The sequence below is a fragment of the Homo sapiens genome, chromosome 2 (genome assembly GCF_000001405.40).
Source record: "Homo sapiens chromosome 2, GRCh38.p14 Primary Assembly".
Taxonomy (NCBI): Eukaryota; Metazoa; Chordata; class Mammalia; order Primates; family Hominidae; genus Homo; species Homo sapiens.
The window spans coordinates 43692764-43710733 of NC_000002.12; the positions used below are offsets into that span (position 1 = coordinate 43692764).

A 17970-nucleotide genomic window follows, 5' to 3' on the forward strand; every position below is an offset into this window, starting at 1 on the left:
AATATTGCTTATTCGGTCAACCCATAGGATTGCATCACATTTATTGGTGAAAGGTGCAAGTAAAATGGCATTCCTTTAAGTTCAGAGTGATTCCAAGGCAAGATCTAACACTTTTTGGATGTGAGAATGCTCGTTAATATTCAAACATTTGAGTTTATTTATTTATCTGAGACAGAGTCTTGCTCTGTCACCCAAGCTGAAGTGCAGTGGCTCGATCTCAGCTCACTGCAACCTCTGCAAGTCCACCCACAACCAACAGGTTCAAGTGATTCTTGTGCCTCAGCCTCCCGAGTAGCTGGGACTATGGGCATACACCACGACACCCAGCTAATTTTTGTATTTTTTTTTTTAAGAAGAGAAAGGGTTTTGCCATGTTGGCCAGGCCTGTCTTGAACTCCTGATCCACACACCTCAGCCTCCCAACCTGCTGGGATTACAGGCATGAGCCACCATGCCCAGCCAGATGTTAGAGTTTAAATGTAGTATTTAAGTTGGGAACATTTGGTTATCAGCAGGTATGCCCCTAAATTGTTTGCAACCCATCTTTGCTTCAGATTGTTAGAATGTTGGAAATGTTTATAGAACATTACATTTTAAATATTTATATTTGATGCCAATCCTTCTGCTTAGAAATGTGTACACCATTTTTGAACCACTTTATTGGAATCAAGTAATCTAGTTTAAAAAATGTATTAGTCACACCTGTAATCCCAGCACTTTGGGAGGCCAAGGCAGGTGGATCACGAGGTCAGGAGATCGAGACCATCTGGCTAACATGGTGAAATCCCGTCTCTGCTAAAAGTACAAAAAATTAGCCGGGCGTGGTGGCGGGCTCCTGTAGTCCCAGCTACTTGGGAGGCTGACGCAGGAGAGCGGCGTGAACCCAGGAGGTGGAGCTTGCAGTGAGCCGAGATTGCACCACTGCACTCCAGCCTGGGCGACTGAGCGAGACTCCATCTCAAAAAAAAAAAAAAAAAGGAAAAAATTGCACTGGGGATTGGGGTTATGTACTTAATGCTCACTTAACATCATTTAAATATGACCACTATGAAATCATTTTGTTAAATGTGTTGTTTATTTTCAGCATTTTTTCCCCATTTCTTGATAAAGACCAGTGTTTCTTTAGGTCAGTGGTTTTCAGCTTTCTACCACCCCTAGACCCTGCCTATTGCGATTTATTTGGTAAACACATTCTCAATAGTTTTGTGACCATAACCAGATTTTAAGGCTGGTAAATGAGAGCTAGAATTTCACTATGTTTATTTTTCTTGCATCTTTGAAAGCTAGTATTTGAGGGGAAAAAAAAAGCCATGCCCCTAAGGAGAGTCTTATTCTCTTCTCCCCAACGTGGTTGACCCCTAAATCCTAGACCATTCCCAGAAATGGCTTATTTTGTTGATAAATTCAGTGGATTGACTTCAGTGTATGATCTTTCAGAGAAAGAGAATAGCGGTTGTTAAAACTAGTAATACATGCATGTGGCTTTGTGGTTTCTTATTGTATCTACCGAATAATTTTTTCTTTTAAAAACCTATTTGGTAATTTGAAAGCAGATATAGTAACTTGGAATCAAGTTTTAAGTGGATATGCCTTGTATATTTATGGTAAAACATTTCCAGACCATTGAGTTTATGTTTGAACTAAACAAATTGCTATTGTTATTTCAGAAACAAATAAGAATACAAGAAGCTAAAATAATAGAAGAGAAAGCAGCTAAGATAAAAGAATGGGTAACAGTTAAGTTAAATGAGGTATTTATTGCTATATGTTTTCCTTTTCTTTACCTTTTACTTCTTTTGAATTGATACATCATCAGAATATGTGATTACTCTGAGTAAAACAAAGAATTTTGATCGGTTGGTGATACTGCTATCTTTTGATAAATGAGATATAGGTAGCTTTCATTTTAATATCCAGTGTATTTTAAAAATTAAACATATTAATAGACTCATGAGGATCAGTGTGAATAACTTTATTCTAATAAGTTAATTTTAGTTCTAATTAATTTCAAATAATAATAGGACATACATCTATATCTCATAAAATTAATGTATTTGGTAGCTGAGAAGCACACGTTTTCATTTCTATGGCAGTTTAAAGCTGAAATCGTTTCCTTTAAAATAATTTTACAGTGGAAAAGGCATAAGGGGTGAAAACATTTAAAACTCTTAGTTCTGAAAAATGTAAATATTGATACCATAATTATCTAGGTCGATAGCCTATTCTGATAAATTAATCTGAGATTTGTTTATCATTTCCTTTGTATTTTGCTTACACATGTAGAGAAACTAAATATTAACATTTTCTAATATTATAATTTATTAGTACATTTTTATAATATTATCTCTATATGAAAAGAATACCATTATGTTCTCTTAGCTGGAATTGGAGAATCAGAATCTTCGTTTGATCAACCAAAACCAAACTGAAGAGATAAGAACAATGCAGTCAAAACTACAAGGTACAAATACTTTACTAAGATAGCTTAGTTGGATTTATTTGACTATATAGGCTTTTACTTTTTTTGATGTTTTAAAGATGCGATTATGGATGTCATCCAAGAAGCTGTTGCCATAAAATGAAAGAGAATTACTAAACAAACCAGAAGTCCTGCATTCGAGTGAATGTTGGGCCTGAAAGTGGAAGGCAAAAAAGAGATGGAATTGATGATGTCTACCAAAGTGGTCACTACGTAGATCAGAAAAACATGACCAAATACTAATTTTGCCTCTCTCTATTCTAAAAGACCTTCCATTGGTACACTTTTTAGAACCAAACTAAGTTCCAGAGAGTCCAGCTTGCTAAAAGTACTGTACAGAGACATTAGCCTGGGAGGTCAGACATATGGATGATGGGTACCAATCTCTAATGGTAAGGACATTTTGCTCCTTCTAAGTGATGTAGTTCTGTATCTCCCTGTTTTCTTGAAAGAACACAGGGGACTTTACCACACAAGATAGTGAGTTAGAGGTAGTTGTATCAGAGAGACATGCACTCCAGAAGTCCAAGAAGACTTGAATTTTGGCCTTAGAGAATAGACCTTTTAATGGAGATTAGGGGAGTCACAGATACCATACATTTGTAGCTGCATTGAACACTTTGGAGGAGGTTTCTTGGCATCACACATGCTGAACACATTATTGAACTTGGCATTAATTGAGGGTAGCTCTGAGGCACTTCCATGTGTTCTTAGATGCCTGAGCTGGTGGTTACTTGCATGCAAATGTCATAACTCAGTTCGTTCATGGATCACCAGTGTTCTAATCCTTTCCCCATATGGATCTTCTAGATGAGGGTTTGAATCCAGTCAGTTAGGAGAATCAATTGATAATCCGCTGATAAACTCAAGAATATCAGTGGTGAGATTGGTCTATTTAAAAAAAACATATATCTCCAAAATTATTTATAACTTTTGGCTGGGCCACTGGGCCAGGCGCAGTGGCTCACTCCTGTAATCCCAGCATTTTGGGAGGCCAAGGTGAGAGGACTGCTTGAGGCCAGGAGTTTGAGACCAGCCTTGGCAATATAGTGAGACCCCATCGCTACAAAAAAAGTTTTTTTTAATTAGCTGGCCATGGTGGCACACACCTATACTCTCAGCTACTTGGGGGCTGGTTAGGGAGGTGAGGTGGGAGGATCACTTGAGCCCGGGAGTTTGGGGCTGCAGTGAGCCATGATCATGCCACTGTACTCCAGCCTGGGCAACAAAGAGACACCCTGTCTCAAAAAAAAAAAAAAAAGTCCAAGAGATGAATTAAATTCATGATTAGATGCTGACCTAATCACTTCACTACCTGTATAAATTCTTTACTCACCTCCTCTTTTTTTTTCTCTTTAAAGAAGTGATTAAAGCTCTTTATATTGTGGTTACCATAGACCCAACCTCCCCATCTACTTTTTTCTCATGGCTGAAAACTAAGATAAGCAAAAGTCATTACAGTTATCATGGGATGGTTGCCCCAAGGATGATCCAAGTTTCTTTGGTTATTTCGGCAACCAGGACCTCAGTTTCTTTTTCTTCACAGTGGCATACTGTGCAAATTTTACCAACGCTGAACTGGTATTTGTCAATACTTGACTTTGCAGGAAGCTAGAGCTCTCTAGTTATTTATAATCTGTTTGTGTTTTGTCGTTGCTTAGAACTAACTACTCTTAAAGGGATTAGATATTTTTCTTTCTCCAGTTAAAAATATTTTGAACATTCAAAATATGTAAAACAGAATTTAAACATTGGGATGTGATGCTTGTCATTGAAGGTTCTATGTTATTGTACATCAATAAAGATGAACTTTAGGCTTTTTTTCTGGCATAAAGAGTGATTTGTTCAAGTTTTTATATGCCTTGGTTCTATGTTTAACAAACTTCTATAAAAAATTCAAATCTTAATTTTGATTAACGATGTTGTAGAAGTTCAAGGAAAGAAGTCATCCACTGTCTCTACACTAAAGCTTTCGGAAGGCCAGCGCCTGAGCAGTTTGACCTTTGGGTGCTTTTTATCTCGAGCAAGGAGTCCTCCTCAAGTAGTAAAATCTGAGGAAATGAGCAAGATATCATCGAAAGAACCTGAGTTCACTGAAGGAAAAGACATGGAAGGTATTTATGAACTACAGGAATTGACTTTGGCATTTTTTAAAAAGGAAGACTCATTTGCTAAGATTAATCCAAATATAGCTTAATTTTCCTTATTTTTTTCTGACAATTTGATGTTTTATGAGAATGTTTCTAAAGAGCAATACAACATTTAACTTTGTGTGTCTAATTATTTTGTGTTTTCTGAGAGCCTTTGCATAGGAGAAACTGATTTTTCCTTCGTAATATATTTTTCCTGCTGTAGGTGGAAGGTGGGTATTTAAAATTAAAAAGTTTACTGTCCCATCTGCAAGATGCTGTACTTGTTTTAGCTGAGTTTCAGATTAGAACTGTGAATTTCCTATTCATTATTTATTTAAAATATAAAACATTACTTAATATTACACATAAAACATTATTTAAAATATAAAACATTACTTAATATTACACATGAAATTAAACATTGGCATAGCAAACTTCTAAAGAAAAAAACCCTAGGGGATAAATTGATAACTCTTTGATTTTCCTTTAATCCTTCCAAGAGGAAAATGTTTTCCTAGATATTTAAACCCTGGTCCTGTATACAGATTTCTACTCTTCTTCTTTTAGTCTTGAAGTGCTTCTATCAAAAAAAAAGAAAAAATCCATCTAAATTTTGCTTTGTTGTAGCTGTTGGCTTTGCCACCTCTAGCACAATCACTTTTGTTGACTTTCCCCAAATATTTTAGAGAGGCCTGAGTTTTCATCCTCTCTACTTTCAGCTCCAACTTCCTTCCCCCAGAAGAGAAAAAGTATAACAGTAAAAGTTGTCTCTATGCTTGGTTATGAAATTCTGAAAATGATACATTTTCCAATCCGAAGGCTCCTTTGCTCCTTGCTTTCATGCCATTACTCGCTTTGCTCTTCTCTTCTCTCTCTCTTTTTTTTTTTTTTGAGACAGGATCTCACTCTGTCTCCCAGGCCGGAGTGCAGTGGCACGATCACAGCTCACTGCGGCCTTGACCTCCCAGACTCAAGTGATCCTCCCACCTCAGCATCCCTAGTAGCCAGGACTATAGACACATGCCACCATGCCTAGTTAATTTTTGTATTTTTTGTAGAGATGGGGTTTCACCATGTTGCTCAGGCTGGCCTTGAGCTCCTGGGCTCAAGCAATCTGCCAGCCTTGGCCTCCCAAAAGTGCTGGATTTACCGGTGTGAGCCACTGCACCCGGCCTACTTGCATCTTTTTTTTGCCTTTTGAGAAGCCATTTTCATTTCCTTCCCTTTTTCTAATAGTGGAGTACAGCTGAGATTGCTTGTACTGATGCTCTTGCTCATTTGCAAATTTAACAAACTTCCTAATACCGAATTTTAGAGTTTATTTGTTCAGCCTCTAGTTCCTTAATTATGAAGGTCCTGTCTATGTTTTCATGTTTTCAAAGTTTCTTTTCTACACTTCAGTCTAAAAGTTTAATTCCTTGTTTATGAAGCCAATGGTTCATTCTGTTAATTATGTTATACATAAAAATAAACCATATCTAAAGATATTTTTAAAGAGTGTTATTCTTATTATAAAAACACATTTTGTAGTTATGATTAAACCAAAAGTAGAGCAAGGAAAGCTTTTCTGTGTTTATATTTTCTTCATGATTTTGCATATCTCAATGTATCGAAGTTTGGTGCAAGGTCTGTTTATTAAACTATAGCTTTGTATTTATTATGCTTAAATTTACTTCATTATAATCTAAATATTTAGTTGAAAGGAGGTGTCATTTTCTTTCCTTCTAAAATAGAATTCATGCTGTTCATTTTTTTGGTGACTGCTTTCTTTGATAGTGAAAGTTGCCCTGTTTCACATTTTGCTTCTTTTATTATCTCTCTTTAGACTCTCAGTTTTTTTTTTCCCAACATGTTTTTTTGTAAAAACCAATTTGGAAACTATTATATTGACATGTTAGGGCTCTGAGTTTTATATAAAGCTTATAGTTTTCAAAAACTTGTGTTTAAAAAAGACATAAGACTAACACAGGATAATGTAAATTATTTGTATGAAATTTTTGGTTTATTCCTTTAAAAAAAATAGAGGCAGGGTCTTGCTCTGTCACCCAGGCTGGAGTGCAGTGGCTGATCATAGCTCACTGCAGACTTCAGCTCCTGGGCTCAAGCAATCATCCTGCCTCAGCCTCCCAAGTAGCTGGGACTACAGGTACACACCACTGCACCCAGCAAATTTCTACAGTGTCAATTTCTACAGTGTAGCTACATAAAGCTAAATGTACAGAAAGATTATATTCTTAAAGGCAGCATGCTGATATGATGTATCCTTTTCTAGAAATGGAAATTCCAGAAAAGTCTGTTGATAACCAAGTTCTAGAAAACAACAGAGGCCAGAGAACATTGCATCAAACCCCTTGTGGCTCAGAACAGAATCGGAAAACAAGAACAAGCTTTGCCACAGATGGTGGCATCTCCCAGAATTCTGGGGCTCCTGTGAGTGACTGGAGCTCTGATGAGGAAGACGGGAGCAAAGGAAGATCCAAGTCCAGATGCACATCCACCCTCTCCAGTCACACATCTGAGGAAGGGGTCCAGTGTAGCAGGATGGGAAGTGAAATGTATCTGACAGCATCTGATGACAGCAGCTCTATATTTGAGGAAGAGACTTTTGGCATAAAGAGACCAGAACACAAGAAGCTATATTCTTGGCAGCAGGAGGCACAGTGGAAAGCTCTAAATAGTCCTCTTGGAAAGGGAAATTCTGAATTAAGTAAAAAGGAACAAGATAGTTCCTCGGATGAACTGAATAAAAAATTTCAATCCCAGAGACTCGATTATTCATCTTCATCGAGTGAAGCCAACACCCCAAGCCCTATTTTGACCCCAGCTTTAATGCCAAAGCATCCTAACTCACTCTCTGGAAAAGGAACACAATTAGTGCCTTCATCACACCTGCCACCCCCAAAGTTAAGGATTCCTAATGTTTTCAGTATAAGTGTAGCACTAGCCAAAAGGCACTTAAGCCAGCCACAGTTAAGCTCTGACAGGATGTTTGGTACAAATAGAAACGCTATAAGCATGATACGACCACTGAGACCTCAGGAAACTGATCTTGATCTAGTTGATGGAGACAGTACAGAAGTTTTAGAGAATATGGACACGAGTTGTGATGATGGATTATTTTCCTATGACTCCTTGGACTCTCCAAATTCAGATGACCAGGAACACTGTGACTCAGCAAAGAAGGTGGCATACAGCAAACCTCCAACTCCTCCCCTGCACCGTTTTCCTTCTTGGGTAATTATATCACCGCATGTAACACATACGCAGTAGTTTTTTTCTCAACACTTTTTTTTTCTGGGAGGGAGTCTCGCTCTGTCGCCCAAGCTGGAGTGCAGTGGCGCGATCTTGGCTCACTGCAACCTCCATCTCCCGGGTTCAAGTGATTCTCCTGCCTCAGCCTCCTGAGTAGCTGATACAGGCATGCACTACCATGCCTGGCTAATTTTTGTATTTTTGGTAGAGACGGGGTTTCGCCATGTTGGCCAGGCTGGTCTTGAACTCCTGACCTCAAGTGATCCACCTGCCTTTGCCTCCCAAAGTGTCCACACTCATTTTCAAGTTTTACTTTTTCTTTTCTTCTTTCCTTTCAAATCCAGCTTTGTTCTGACGTTTTCCAGTTTTTAGGATAAAATTTCTTCTTCTCTTCCCTCACTGAGTTCTGAATCAATTGAGAAATAAGATAATGACAAGACAGATGGGAGATCAAGGTATTACCTTATTTACTGATAAAACTAATTTTAGAGAATTAGTGGGCAAATGAGCTTTCTAATACTGAACTTTGAGATTAGCTGGATTGAGTCACCTGTTCCCAGGAAGCCCTGGACCACCACAGGATTCTGCTACTGAAGCCATGCCCCTCTAAAACTTACTACCTCAAAAAACAGAACAGATGGTTGTTTCCTGCAGGCAGCTACTTCTCAAGAGAAAGGGGAGAGGAAGTTGCCAGGCTCTGCATGCCCAGTTTCTCCTTCTCAGCTTACCAATCACATTAAGCCACTCTTCCTCTTGGGGAGGGGAAAGTGAATAGGTGGAGAGGGATCAGCAGTGTTCAATTACTGGAGGTTCCTCCATGTGGAAGGAAACATTGGAGGTGGGAAAGAAGGGTTCCCCCTAACTGTGATATTTTGGGTGAATTCTGAACCGGGACACTTAACTCTTGTTAGTTATAAGTTTTTGAACTTAGTCGTTATTTGATTGGCTTTAAGATAAATTTAATTTTCTTTTTGAGCTTATATAGCCATTGGTTTCCAAAGTATCTTTCTACAGACCTAGAATAGATAAAATCTTCTTCCATTGAAACATTGACCATTAGTAGGATAACACTGCTAGACTAAAAAAAAAAAAAAATTCTTCCAATATTTGAAATAAAATGAAATGATCTGTTTAATTTTAATTTTTTTTTTTTTTTTTGAGATGAAGTTTCACTCTTGTCTCCCGGGCTAGAGTGCAATGGCGCCATCTCAGCTCACTGCAACCTCTGCCACCTGGGTTCAGGCAATTCTCCTGCCTTAGCCTCCCAAGTAGCTGGAACTACAGACGTTTACCACCACACCTGGCTAATTTTTTGTATTTTTAGTAGAGGTGGGGTTTCACCATGTTGGCCAGGCTGGTCTTGAATGCCTGACTTCAGGTGATCCACCCACCTCAGCCTCCCAAAGTGCTGGGATTACAGGCGTGTCACGCCACTGCACCTGGTCTGAAATGATCTGTTATAGATTTAAGTTTTTCTTCACATGCTGGCATAATTTAACCTTTGGCCTCCAGAGAAACATCTGGGTTGCAGGACTCTTTTGGTTTTTGGAGTCATGTTCTTTTATTACTATATTTTTTATTTTGTGACTGATGCAGTTTTAAGCAAATTAGGGTGGACATGTTTTTCTAATATAAATTCAGAACTTAAGATGTATGTGCTCTTATTTGCTTTCAAGAGGACATTTTATTTCAATATCCACATGAAACCTTCTGTAGTTTATTACTAAATTTTGGATAGCACAGGAAAGTGGAAGTTAATGGCATGTGAATCTCTGGAATTCTAATTATGTTATACTTTAGGCAGCAAGAAATTGAAATTTTGCCTATCTTATGATGTTGAGATTTTCAGAGATTTAGGTTAGGCTTTTAAGTTCGTTTTATTTGGCAACCCATTCTACTACTTTTTTTTTTTTTTTTTTTTTTCCATTCTGTCTTCTCTTACTCTTTTGAAGCTATTCGGTCCTGAAAAAGTAGTATTGCTTTTCAAAAGCCTTCCAGCAGACTGGCCAAGTCTGAGATTTTATTTCTGTGTTTATTAGGTATTTTCAGGTTTCAAGGAAAAGAGATGTATTCTAATTGCCTCAATAAATATGAGTTTATTTTAAAAATTTCTAAGAGCTTATTTTAAGGCATAGCCTATCCTTATTGAACTGGAATACCATGCAAATTACAATAGTCACTCTAGAGGGACAACATGTGATAGTCAGCAGTACCTCCGATAGAAACAAGTGACATCCATTGCCCCTGCTCCCAGTGGCTCAGCTTGTCCTCCCAGGCCTCCAGTCCCCTCTCTCTAATTCTACTACTAACCACTTTCCCCCAGTCTCCTAGGGCTTCAGACTGCCTCCCGTCTCCTGCTTACTGCCCTTATTGTTATATGTCTTTCTGTTGCTGTTTGTGTGTGGGTGTATCTCACACTCAAAGAAACTACATCTGATTCACTCAGCCAGGCACTATTCAATCGAAAATGTCCCTGATAGTCGGAGAACTCATGCCAGTTGCCTCTCAAGCCACTGGCTGTCTTGAAGAGGATGGCCTTAGTTGCCCACTGTGTCCTGGACAGTCAACTGTGTCCAAGTTAGACCCATTATTAAATTCAGGACATGTTGCTCTATGCATTAGGAACCACCTGTGGTCCCTTTTCTCAAGGGAGCAGGGCTAGTAACCTGTCCAGTACCTGTTTCAGAGATTTTTCAGAAGAGAAGAGAAAACAAAATAATCTACTTTTGGAACAAGATAATATAAATTCCATTGCAATTCTCATATTCATTTCTTGTTTGACTTTAGGTATCTCTTCTACTTGAGTGAAATGTACATTGACATAGGAAGGCGATAGCATTTAATGCTACTGTATCTATGACTTCTGACTTCAGGTTTTTCCATTCTTTGTTTAACCATGTTCCAGAATAGTAGAATATTAAAAGTGGTGTTTATGTGTAATCAATGATTGAGAATGGTTTCTAGCTTAATGTTATAGCCACTCATGGTTTTTCTCCCCACCGCCAACCATATTCTAGAATGGTAAGAATATTAAAGGTGGTGTTTATGTGTAGTCAGTGATTGTGAAAAAGCTTTCTCTTACTTTTTCTTCACGTCTTCAAAATAATTTATCAAACAAAAATGTGGGAAAAAGATAAATAATGGAAAAACTAACAGATGGAGAAAAATCTCAACAGTACTATTCACAATGGCATATTTTAGTTGGCACCGATGATGGTTTTATAATAATGCTGTACTCTAGTGAATCTTAAATGAAGAACAAATGAAAAACATGTGTATTGAAAGTAGTCTTTTTTTTTTTTTTTTTTTTTTTTTGCTTTAAATACCCTGTTCAAACTCTCTCTTTTACCCTAGGAAAGCAGAATTTATGCTGTAGCCAAATCAGGTATTCGAATGTCTGAGGCCTTCAATATGGAGAGTGTTAATAAAAGTAAGTGCTTTTTCATGCTGCCACCTGGATGAACCTTGAGGACTTTGTGCTAAGGGATAGTATAATACAAATACATGGTACAGTCACAAAAAGACAAATACTGTATGATTCCACCTAAAGGAGGTGTTTAAAGGGTCAAATTCATAGGAATAGAAAGTAGAATGGCGGTTACCAGGGTCAGGGTGTGCGTGGAGAAGCGAATTTATTGTTTACTGGGTATAGCATTTCAGATTTGCAAAATGAAAAAGTTCTAGAGGTCTGTTTTACAACAGTGTGAATACACTTAACATTACTGAACTGTACAATTAAAAATGATTAAGATGGGCCGGGCACGGTGGCTCGCGCCTGTTATCCCAGCACTTTGGGAGGCTGAGGCAGACAGATCACGAAGTCAGGAGATCAAGACCATCCTGGCTAACACGTTGAAACCCCATCTCTACTAAAAATACAAAAAAAATTAGCCGGGCGTGGTGGCGGGCGCCCATAGCCCCAGCTACTCGGGAGGTTGAGGCAGGAGGATGGCGTGAACCGAGGAGGTGGAGCTTTCAGTGAGCTGAGATTGTGCCACTGCACTCCAGCCTGGGTGACAGAGCAAGATTCTGTCTTAAAAAAAAAAAAAAAAAAAAAAAAGATTAAGATGGTAAATTTTATGTTCTGTGTTTTTTCCCACAATAAAAAAAGTTTAGAAAAGTGATTTGCATTGCTATTTCATTCGCTAAGAACTTCCTAAATGTCTAAATTCATTGGAATAAAGAGTTGTGTAAACTTTCAAAAAATGATTTCTAGGGTTGCTGATTTGTATTTTAAAATTGAAATTCATCTTAGTGTGGGGACTCAAATACACTCAACTCTGATGTATATTTTTTTACCTGAGAGAGACTAAATCAGAGAAACTGTGGCATTTCAGCTGTTTAAAATGGTAAAAATATAGGCTTCTATGTCCTTTTTTCCCAGAATTTAAAACACATTTCCCCTTTCTTTATTTCTTCCAAAAAATTCTTATGGAAACAATGCATGCTCATTACAAAAAATAAAACCAAACAACAAGAACTGTCTGGAATAACAAGAAATTTTCCTGTGGTTCTTTCTACCACCTCCTCCCTATCCCACCACTAATTCATATGTTAGGGGTAACTATTGATATTCAGTTCCTGTTCAGCTATCTGCAGTTCTTTCCATTCAGGAAATTTTATCCTTTTTTTTTTTTTTTTTTTTTTGAGGCAGCGTCTTACTCTGTCACCCAGGTGGGAGTGGAGTGGTGTGATCATAGCTCACTACCGCCTTGAACTCCTGGGCTCAAGCGATCCTCCTGCCTCAGCCTCCTGATTAGTTAGGATGACAGGTGCATACCACCATGCCTTGATACTTTTTAAGATTTTTTGTGGAGATGGGGGTCTCACTGTGTTGCCCAGACTGGTCTCAAACTCCTGGCCTTAAGCAATCCTCCTGCCTCAGCTTCTCAAGGTGCTAGGATTACAGGTGTGAGCCACTACACTTAGCTAGGAAATTACATTCCAATATTTCAACATCAGATTTACCTGATAAAGGCTTAAGAACAGTGGTTTTGGTTTTGGTTTTTGTTTGAGAACAAGTCTTGCTCTGTCGCCCAGGCTGTAGTGCAGTGGCATGATCTCGGCTCACTGCAACCTCCCCTTCCCAGGTTCAAGCAATTCTTGTGCCTCAGCCTCCCAAGTAACTGAGATTACAGGTGTATGCCACCATGTTTGGTTTTAGTAGAGAAAGGGTTTTGCCATGTTGCCCAGGTTGGTCTCAAACTCCTGGGCTCAAGCGATCCACTGCCTCAGCCTCCCAAAGTCCTGGGATTACAGATGGGAACCACCATGCCCCACCAGAACAGTGGTTTTGATACCATGCTGGTAATAGGGTTATGAATAGTCAGAGAATATCTTCCTATGTACTGCTTACTGAATTGGTTGGTAAGCAGTTGCCTGTACTTAGTTCTGCCCAGCCTGAGCAAAGCATGCATGGAGATTTCAAGGAAATAAAAGCTATGGTTCTTGCTCTCAAAGAGCTTGCAGTCTAGTTGGGGAACTAGCACACATGAGGAAATAATGAACCATGTAAAAAAGTGTATAAATAAACCTGTAAATGCCATAATCTGTAAAGTAGACTATACAGTTAGTAATCATGTATTAATCGAATTGCTTTTTAAATGGAGATTATGCTCATTTGTATTCATAAGAAAAAGACCAATGTGCTAATTAGAAGTTTTTTAAAATGTTGTTTCCTGTTTTTCTGTTTCAGATTCTGCTGCAACCCTTTCCTATACTACATCAGGACTTTATACATCTCTGATATACAAGAACATGACCACCCCAGTGTATACAACTTTGAAGGGGGTAACTCATTATTGTTATTGTTAAAACATGTGCTTCTCTTCATGATGGATCAAGGAAATTGTTAATTCAAGCTCCAGATTCCATTCTTAACATTTTACACAGGCTCTCCCTTTATAGAAAGTTTTACAAGTTCACGTTAACATATCATAAAAAAGAAGGAATGGAAAGGTCTGCAGAAGACACTTATCAGAATGTTAGAGGTCTGAGTCAGTTTTTACTGTGTCCCATGTGATTCCCCCACCTCCCCATGGCCATGAATTGTTTAAAGGAGACATATTATTAATAATGTAATGAAAACTCCTAATTTAGGCAGATCTTTGTATCAGTGCCAGGGTACCCCTTCCTTGCTTGAAGTATTAATTAAAAGAAGGATTGCAGGTATTGACAACCTTATATTTTCAGGCATCTTTTATAATTGCTTATTAGAATTCAGGGTTTAACAACATGATTTTGATAACAGCAAAATACATTCCCAAATTCCTTTTAAAAATCATATGCTGGCTGGGCACGGTGGCTCACGCCTGTAATCCCAGCACTTTGGGAGGCCGAGGCGGGCGGATCACGAGGTCAGGAGTTCGAGACCAGCCTGGCCAACATGGCGAAACCCTGTCTCTACTAAAAATATAAAAATTAGCCGGGCGTGGTGGCAGGTGCCTGTAATCCCAGCTACTCAGGAGGCTGAGTCAGGAGAATCGCTTGAACCTGGGAGGCGGAGGTTGCAGTGAACCGAGATCATGTCATTGCACTCCAGCCTGGGTGACAAGAGCAAGACTCCACCTCAAAAAAAAAAAAAAAAAAAATTCTATGCTATGACTTCTTCCTGTAAAACTTTCTGTTATCTAAAAAGAGTGATAACCTTAGGGATGGATACAGGGAGGTTGCTCTGCTTTTCTTTAGGAGGCGACCCTAATAACTAGCAGCCTTTTCTTGGATGAGTGGTAACATTAGGGATGGATACAGGGAGGTTGTTCCACTTTTCTTTAGAAGGCGACCCAAATAAGTAGCAGCCCTTTCCTGGATGACTCATCTGGGTCAGAGGAAGAAGACAGCTCCAGATCCAGCTCCCGGACGTCAGAGTCAGACTCACGCAGTAGGAGTGGGCCAGGCAGCCCCAGAGCCATGAAACGAGGTGAGGGAAAATCGCAGGCATATGAGGCAACTCCAGATCATTCTGAATATTAATTGGGAATTTTATCTCCATTACAGGATTATTTTTTAAATCCAAGAACTTGCTTCAGACCCTAGTGAAAAGAACTTTAGCCTATGACTGATATGTTTATATTCCTAATTCTCTTCTTAATTCTCTGTGATTTCAGACAAATTATATAGTTTTTTTTTTTCAGCTTTTTATTGTCTGTGAGAGGGAGATCACTTTATTGTTGGAATGAAGTGAGATAATTGGCCAAAATGAGGTTTCTTTCTTGGCATTTGTGAAATAGACTTATTTCAGCTAAAGTTGTTACACTGCTAACTGGCAGAAAATATACCTTAAAATTTGTCAATTAATCTGATGTTAAAGTGGAGAACAACATTTACTTGGAATATGTCTATGATTTTTAGTGGATTTTGAAGACATTCTGTGTGTAGGTAGTGGTTACAGAGAGATCTAATTCCACCAAATGACATCTGTATGTTATAAAAAGCCCTTAATGCAGCATGGTGTGTCTGTTGGCTTTCAAACTGTGTTCCATGGAACCTCTGGATACTTCCAATCCCCTCGGCTTCAACTGGAGCTGCTCAGCCTTCCTTGGTTTCATATTTTGAGCTTCCACTGGTCTTCTTGCTCTCAACTTGCCCCGCTACAGCCAGAATCAGGTTATGACACACTTTTGCTGGAAACACTGCAGTGGCTCCTCACAACGGCTATAAGGTGTTCCAGGATTCGGTCACGTACTTGACCTCATCTCCTTTCTTCTCTGTACTCAGCTCCAGTCTCACTGGCCCTCTTGCTGTTCTGAGACATGCCAGGCATGCTTGCATTTCAGGACCTTGGCACTGCTGTTTCCTCCAGCTGGTATTCTTCCCCTAGATGTCCGTATAGCTGACTCCCTCACCTCCATCAGCAAACGCTGCTTTCTCAATGAGGTCCACCCTGACCACACCACTCAAATTGCAGCCCTTTGTCTTTCTTCTGTTGCCAGCTCTTTTTATTCCCTTTAGTCTGCTCTATGTTTTATTGTTCCATACCACCTACTGCCTGTTTGTCAGTGGTCTCCTTCCGCTAGAATTTGTTCCACGAGAGCCAATATTTTTGTTGTTTGCTCTATCCCTAGCATCTAGGACAGTGCCTGGCACACTGGCCCTGGTCCTGGGAGCCTGAGACTTGTGTTCCAACATTGCCCCTGCCTAACTCTTTGACTTTGGACAAATCCTTTAATCTCTGGGCCTTAGTCTCCTTGGGCCTTAGCCATGACAATCACTGAGGTCCCTATAGGTCTACATTTTTGTTTATTCTATGAAAAATGAAGATATTATAGCAACTGTTACTTGTCTGAGTCAAATAAAAAGCAGTGTCACAAGAGTGGCATTGTTCTAATATGTCCCTTAAATGTTAATACATATTTTTAAAAATTGCTGGATACTTTTATAAATAATTACCTAAGTCCTTGATTTTATTTAATATATTCTAAATCTCCAATTGTAGTGACTCATGAAATGTGGCTTGCAACTCCCAGGTAGTTTTCTGTAAAGGCAAATGAATCATTGTATAAATGTTCCATTGAATTTTATGTTATAGCTGCTGGCAAGTGAAAGAAATAGTTTGTTTATATCTTTCAATCTTATTGTTTCTCTTTTATGAAATATTTTTAAAATCTGTAAACTGCTTAGTAGCTTATGGAACTTGAATGAAAAAATACTACTGAATTGTGTTTTTTTAAAATGTGAGGTTACTTTAAAAGTGATTACAGAAGTTAAGAAATTTAAAATGTGATTGTGAAAATCTTGATAAATTAAGGTTCAACATTTGTTTGCCTATATGTCAATGTGTAAATACACATATTTTTAATTCTTAATAAAATATACATGAGTAGACTCTTGCATATATTTTATATATGTAAAATAGCTGTGTGATTGTAATCATACCAAAATATTATTCCTGTTCCTTTCACTTCCTTAGAGATTTACATGACAGTCCCTACCTCTTAGTTCTGTTTTCTGCTTTAAAAGTTCTTCATGTTGGGAGGCCAAGGCAGGCGGATCACGAGGTCAAGAGATCGAGACCATCCTGGCCAACATGATGAAACCCCATCTCTACTAAAGATACAAAAATTAGCTGGGCGTGGTGGCGCACACCTGTAGCCCCAGCTACTCGGGAGGCTGAGGCGGGAGAATCGCTTGAACCCAGGAGGCAGAGGTTGCAGTGAGCCGAGATTGTGCCAGTGCACTCCAGCCTGGTGACAGAGCGAGACTCTGTCTCAAAAAAAGTTATTTATGGCCAAAGGAATGAGAATAAATCTAGTCTAGGGAGGCTTATGATTTAGGAATAATTGCATTCTGTAGGAGCACTCAGAGCTGGTGTTTGGCCCTCCCCAGTATTAAATACTGACTTGATTTCTTTCTTTGTTCTCTTAGGTGTGTCTCTCTCCTCTGTGGCTTCTGAAAGTGATTATGCTATTCCTCCTGATGCTTACTCCACAGACACGGAGTACTCACAGCCAGAGCAGAAGCTCCCAAAAACTTGCTCATCTTCCAGTGATAATGGGAAAAATGTAAATATTGAATATGATTTTTAAAAAGCAGTCAGTCAGATTGAGCCTCCAAAAGGAAACTGAAAATGCTTTTGTCTATCTTTTAAAAATTAGGAACCACTGGAAAAATCTGGTTATTTATTAAAAATGAGTGGTAAAGTCAAGTCTTGGAAGCGGCGGTGGTTTGTTCTTAAAGGTGGTGAATTACTTTACTACAAATCTCCGGTGAGTGGAAAGTGTTTTCTGTTTAGAACGTAATTCCTCAAACTATAAATCAGACGCCTGATTGATTTCCTTCCCATAATGCAAGTAATGATACAAAGCATTCCTTATTATTACTGTTAAAGTTAATCACTTTCCATTTGTTTTTCTGTTTCATACAGAGTGATGTAATTAGAAAACCCCAGGGCCATATTGAACTTAGTGCATCCTGTAGTATTTTAAGAGGAGATAACAAACAAACAGTTCAGGTACTTAACTTTTTTTTTTTTTTTTTTTTTTTTGTATCATGCCAGACTCAATTCTCAATTATCCAACCTAATGGAAAGGAGATAGGATAATTCAGTGTTTCTTTATTCACTTTGGGGGGTTAGTTTGATGCCTTGGAAGTATGTGAAACTCCACGAAT

At 38.6% G+C, this 17970-nt stretch overlaps 1 protein-coding gene across 10 annotated transcripts in view; it reads left to right on the forward strand.

The window, feature by feature from the left end:
* Positions 1-17970, forward strand: part of PLEKHH2 (pleckstrin homology, MyTH4 and FERM domain containing H2) — a 130728-nt gene that overhangs the window by 55504 nt on the left and 57254 nt on the right. For 9 of the 10 annotated variants that reach the window (XR_001738621.2, XR_001738620.2, NM_172069.4 and 6 more), the window contains 10 exons: positions 1668-1751; positions 2380-2461; positions 4408-4593; positions 6884-7845; positions 11218-11293; positions 13559-13653; positions 14638-14782; positions 17227-17363; positions 17457-17567; positions 17726-17812. Coding sequence is in view for 8 of the 10 variants with exons in the window: in NM_172069.4 (NP_742066.2) it covers positions 1668-1751; positions 2380-2461; positions 4408-4593; positions 6884-7845; positions 11218-11293; positions 13559-13653; positions 14638-14782; positions 17227-17363; positions 17457-17567; positions 17726-17812 (1965 nt within the window). In the remaining 2 variants the exon portion in view is untranslated. Of the gene's footprint in view, positions 1-1667; positions 1752-2379; positions 2462-4407; positions 4594-6883; positions 7846-8246; positions 8319-11217; positions 11294-13558; positions 13654-14637; positions 14783-17226; positions 17364-17456; positions 17568-17725; positions 17813-17970 lie in introns of those variants that run through there. The other variant, XM_047443342.1, reaches the window with a different exon arrangement.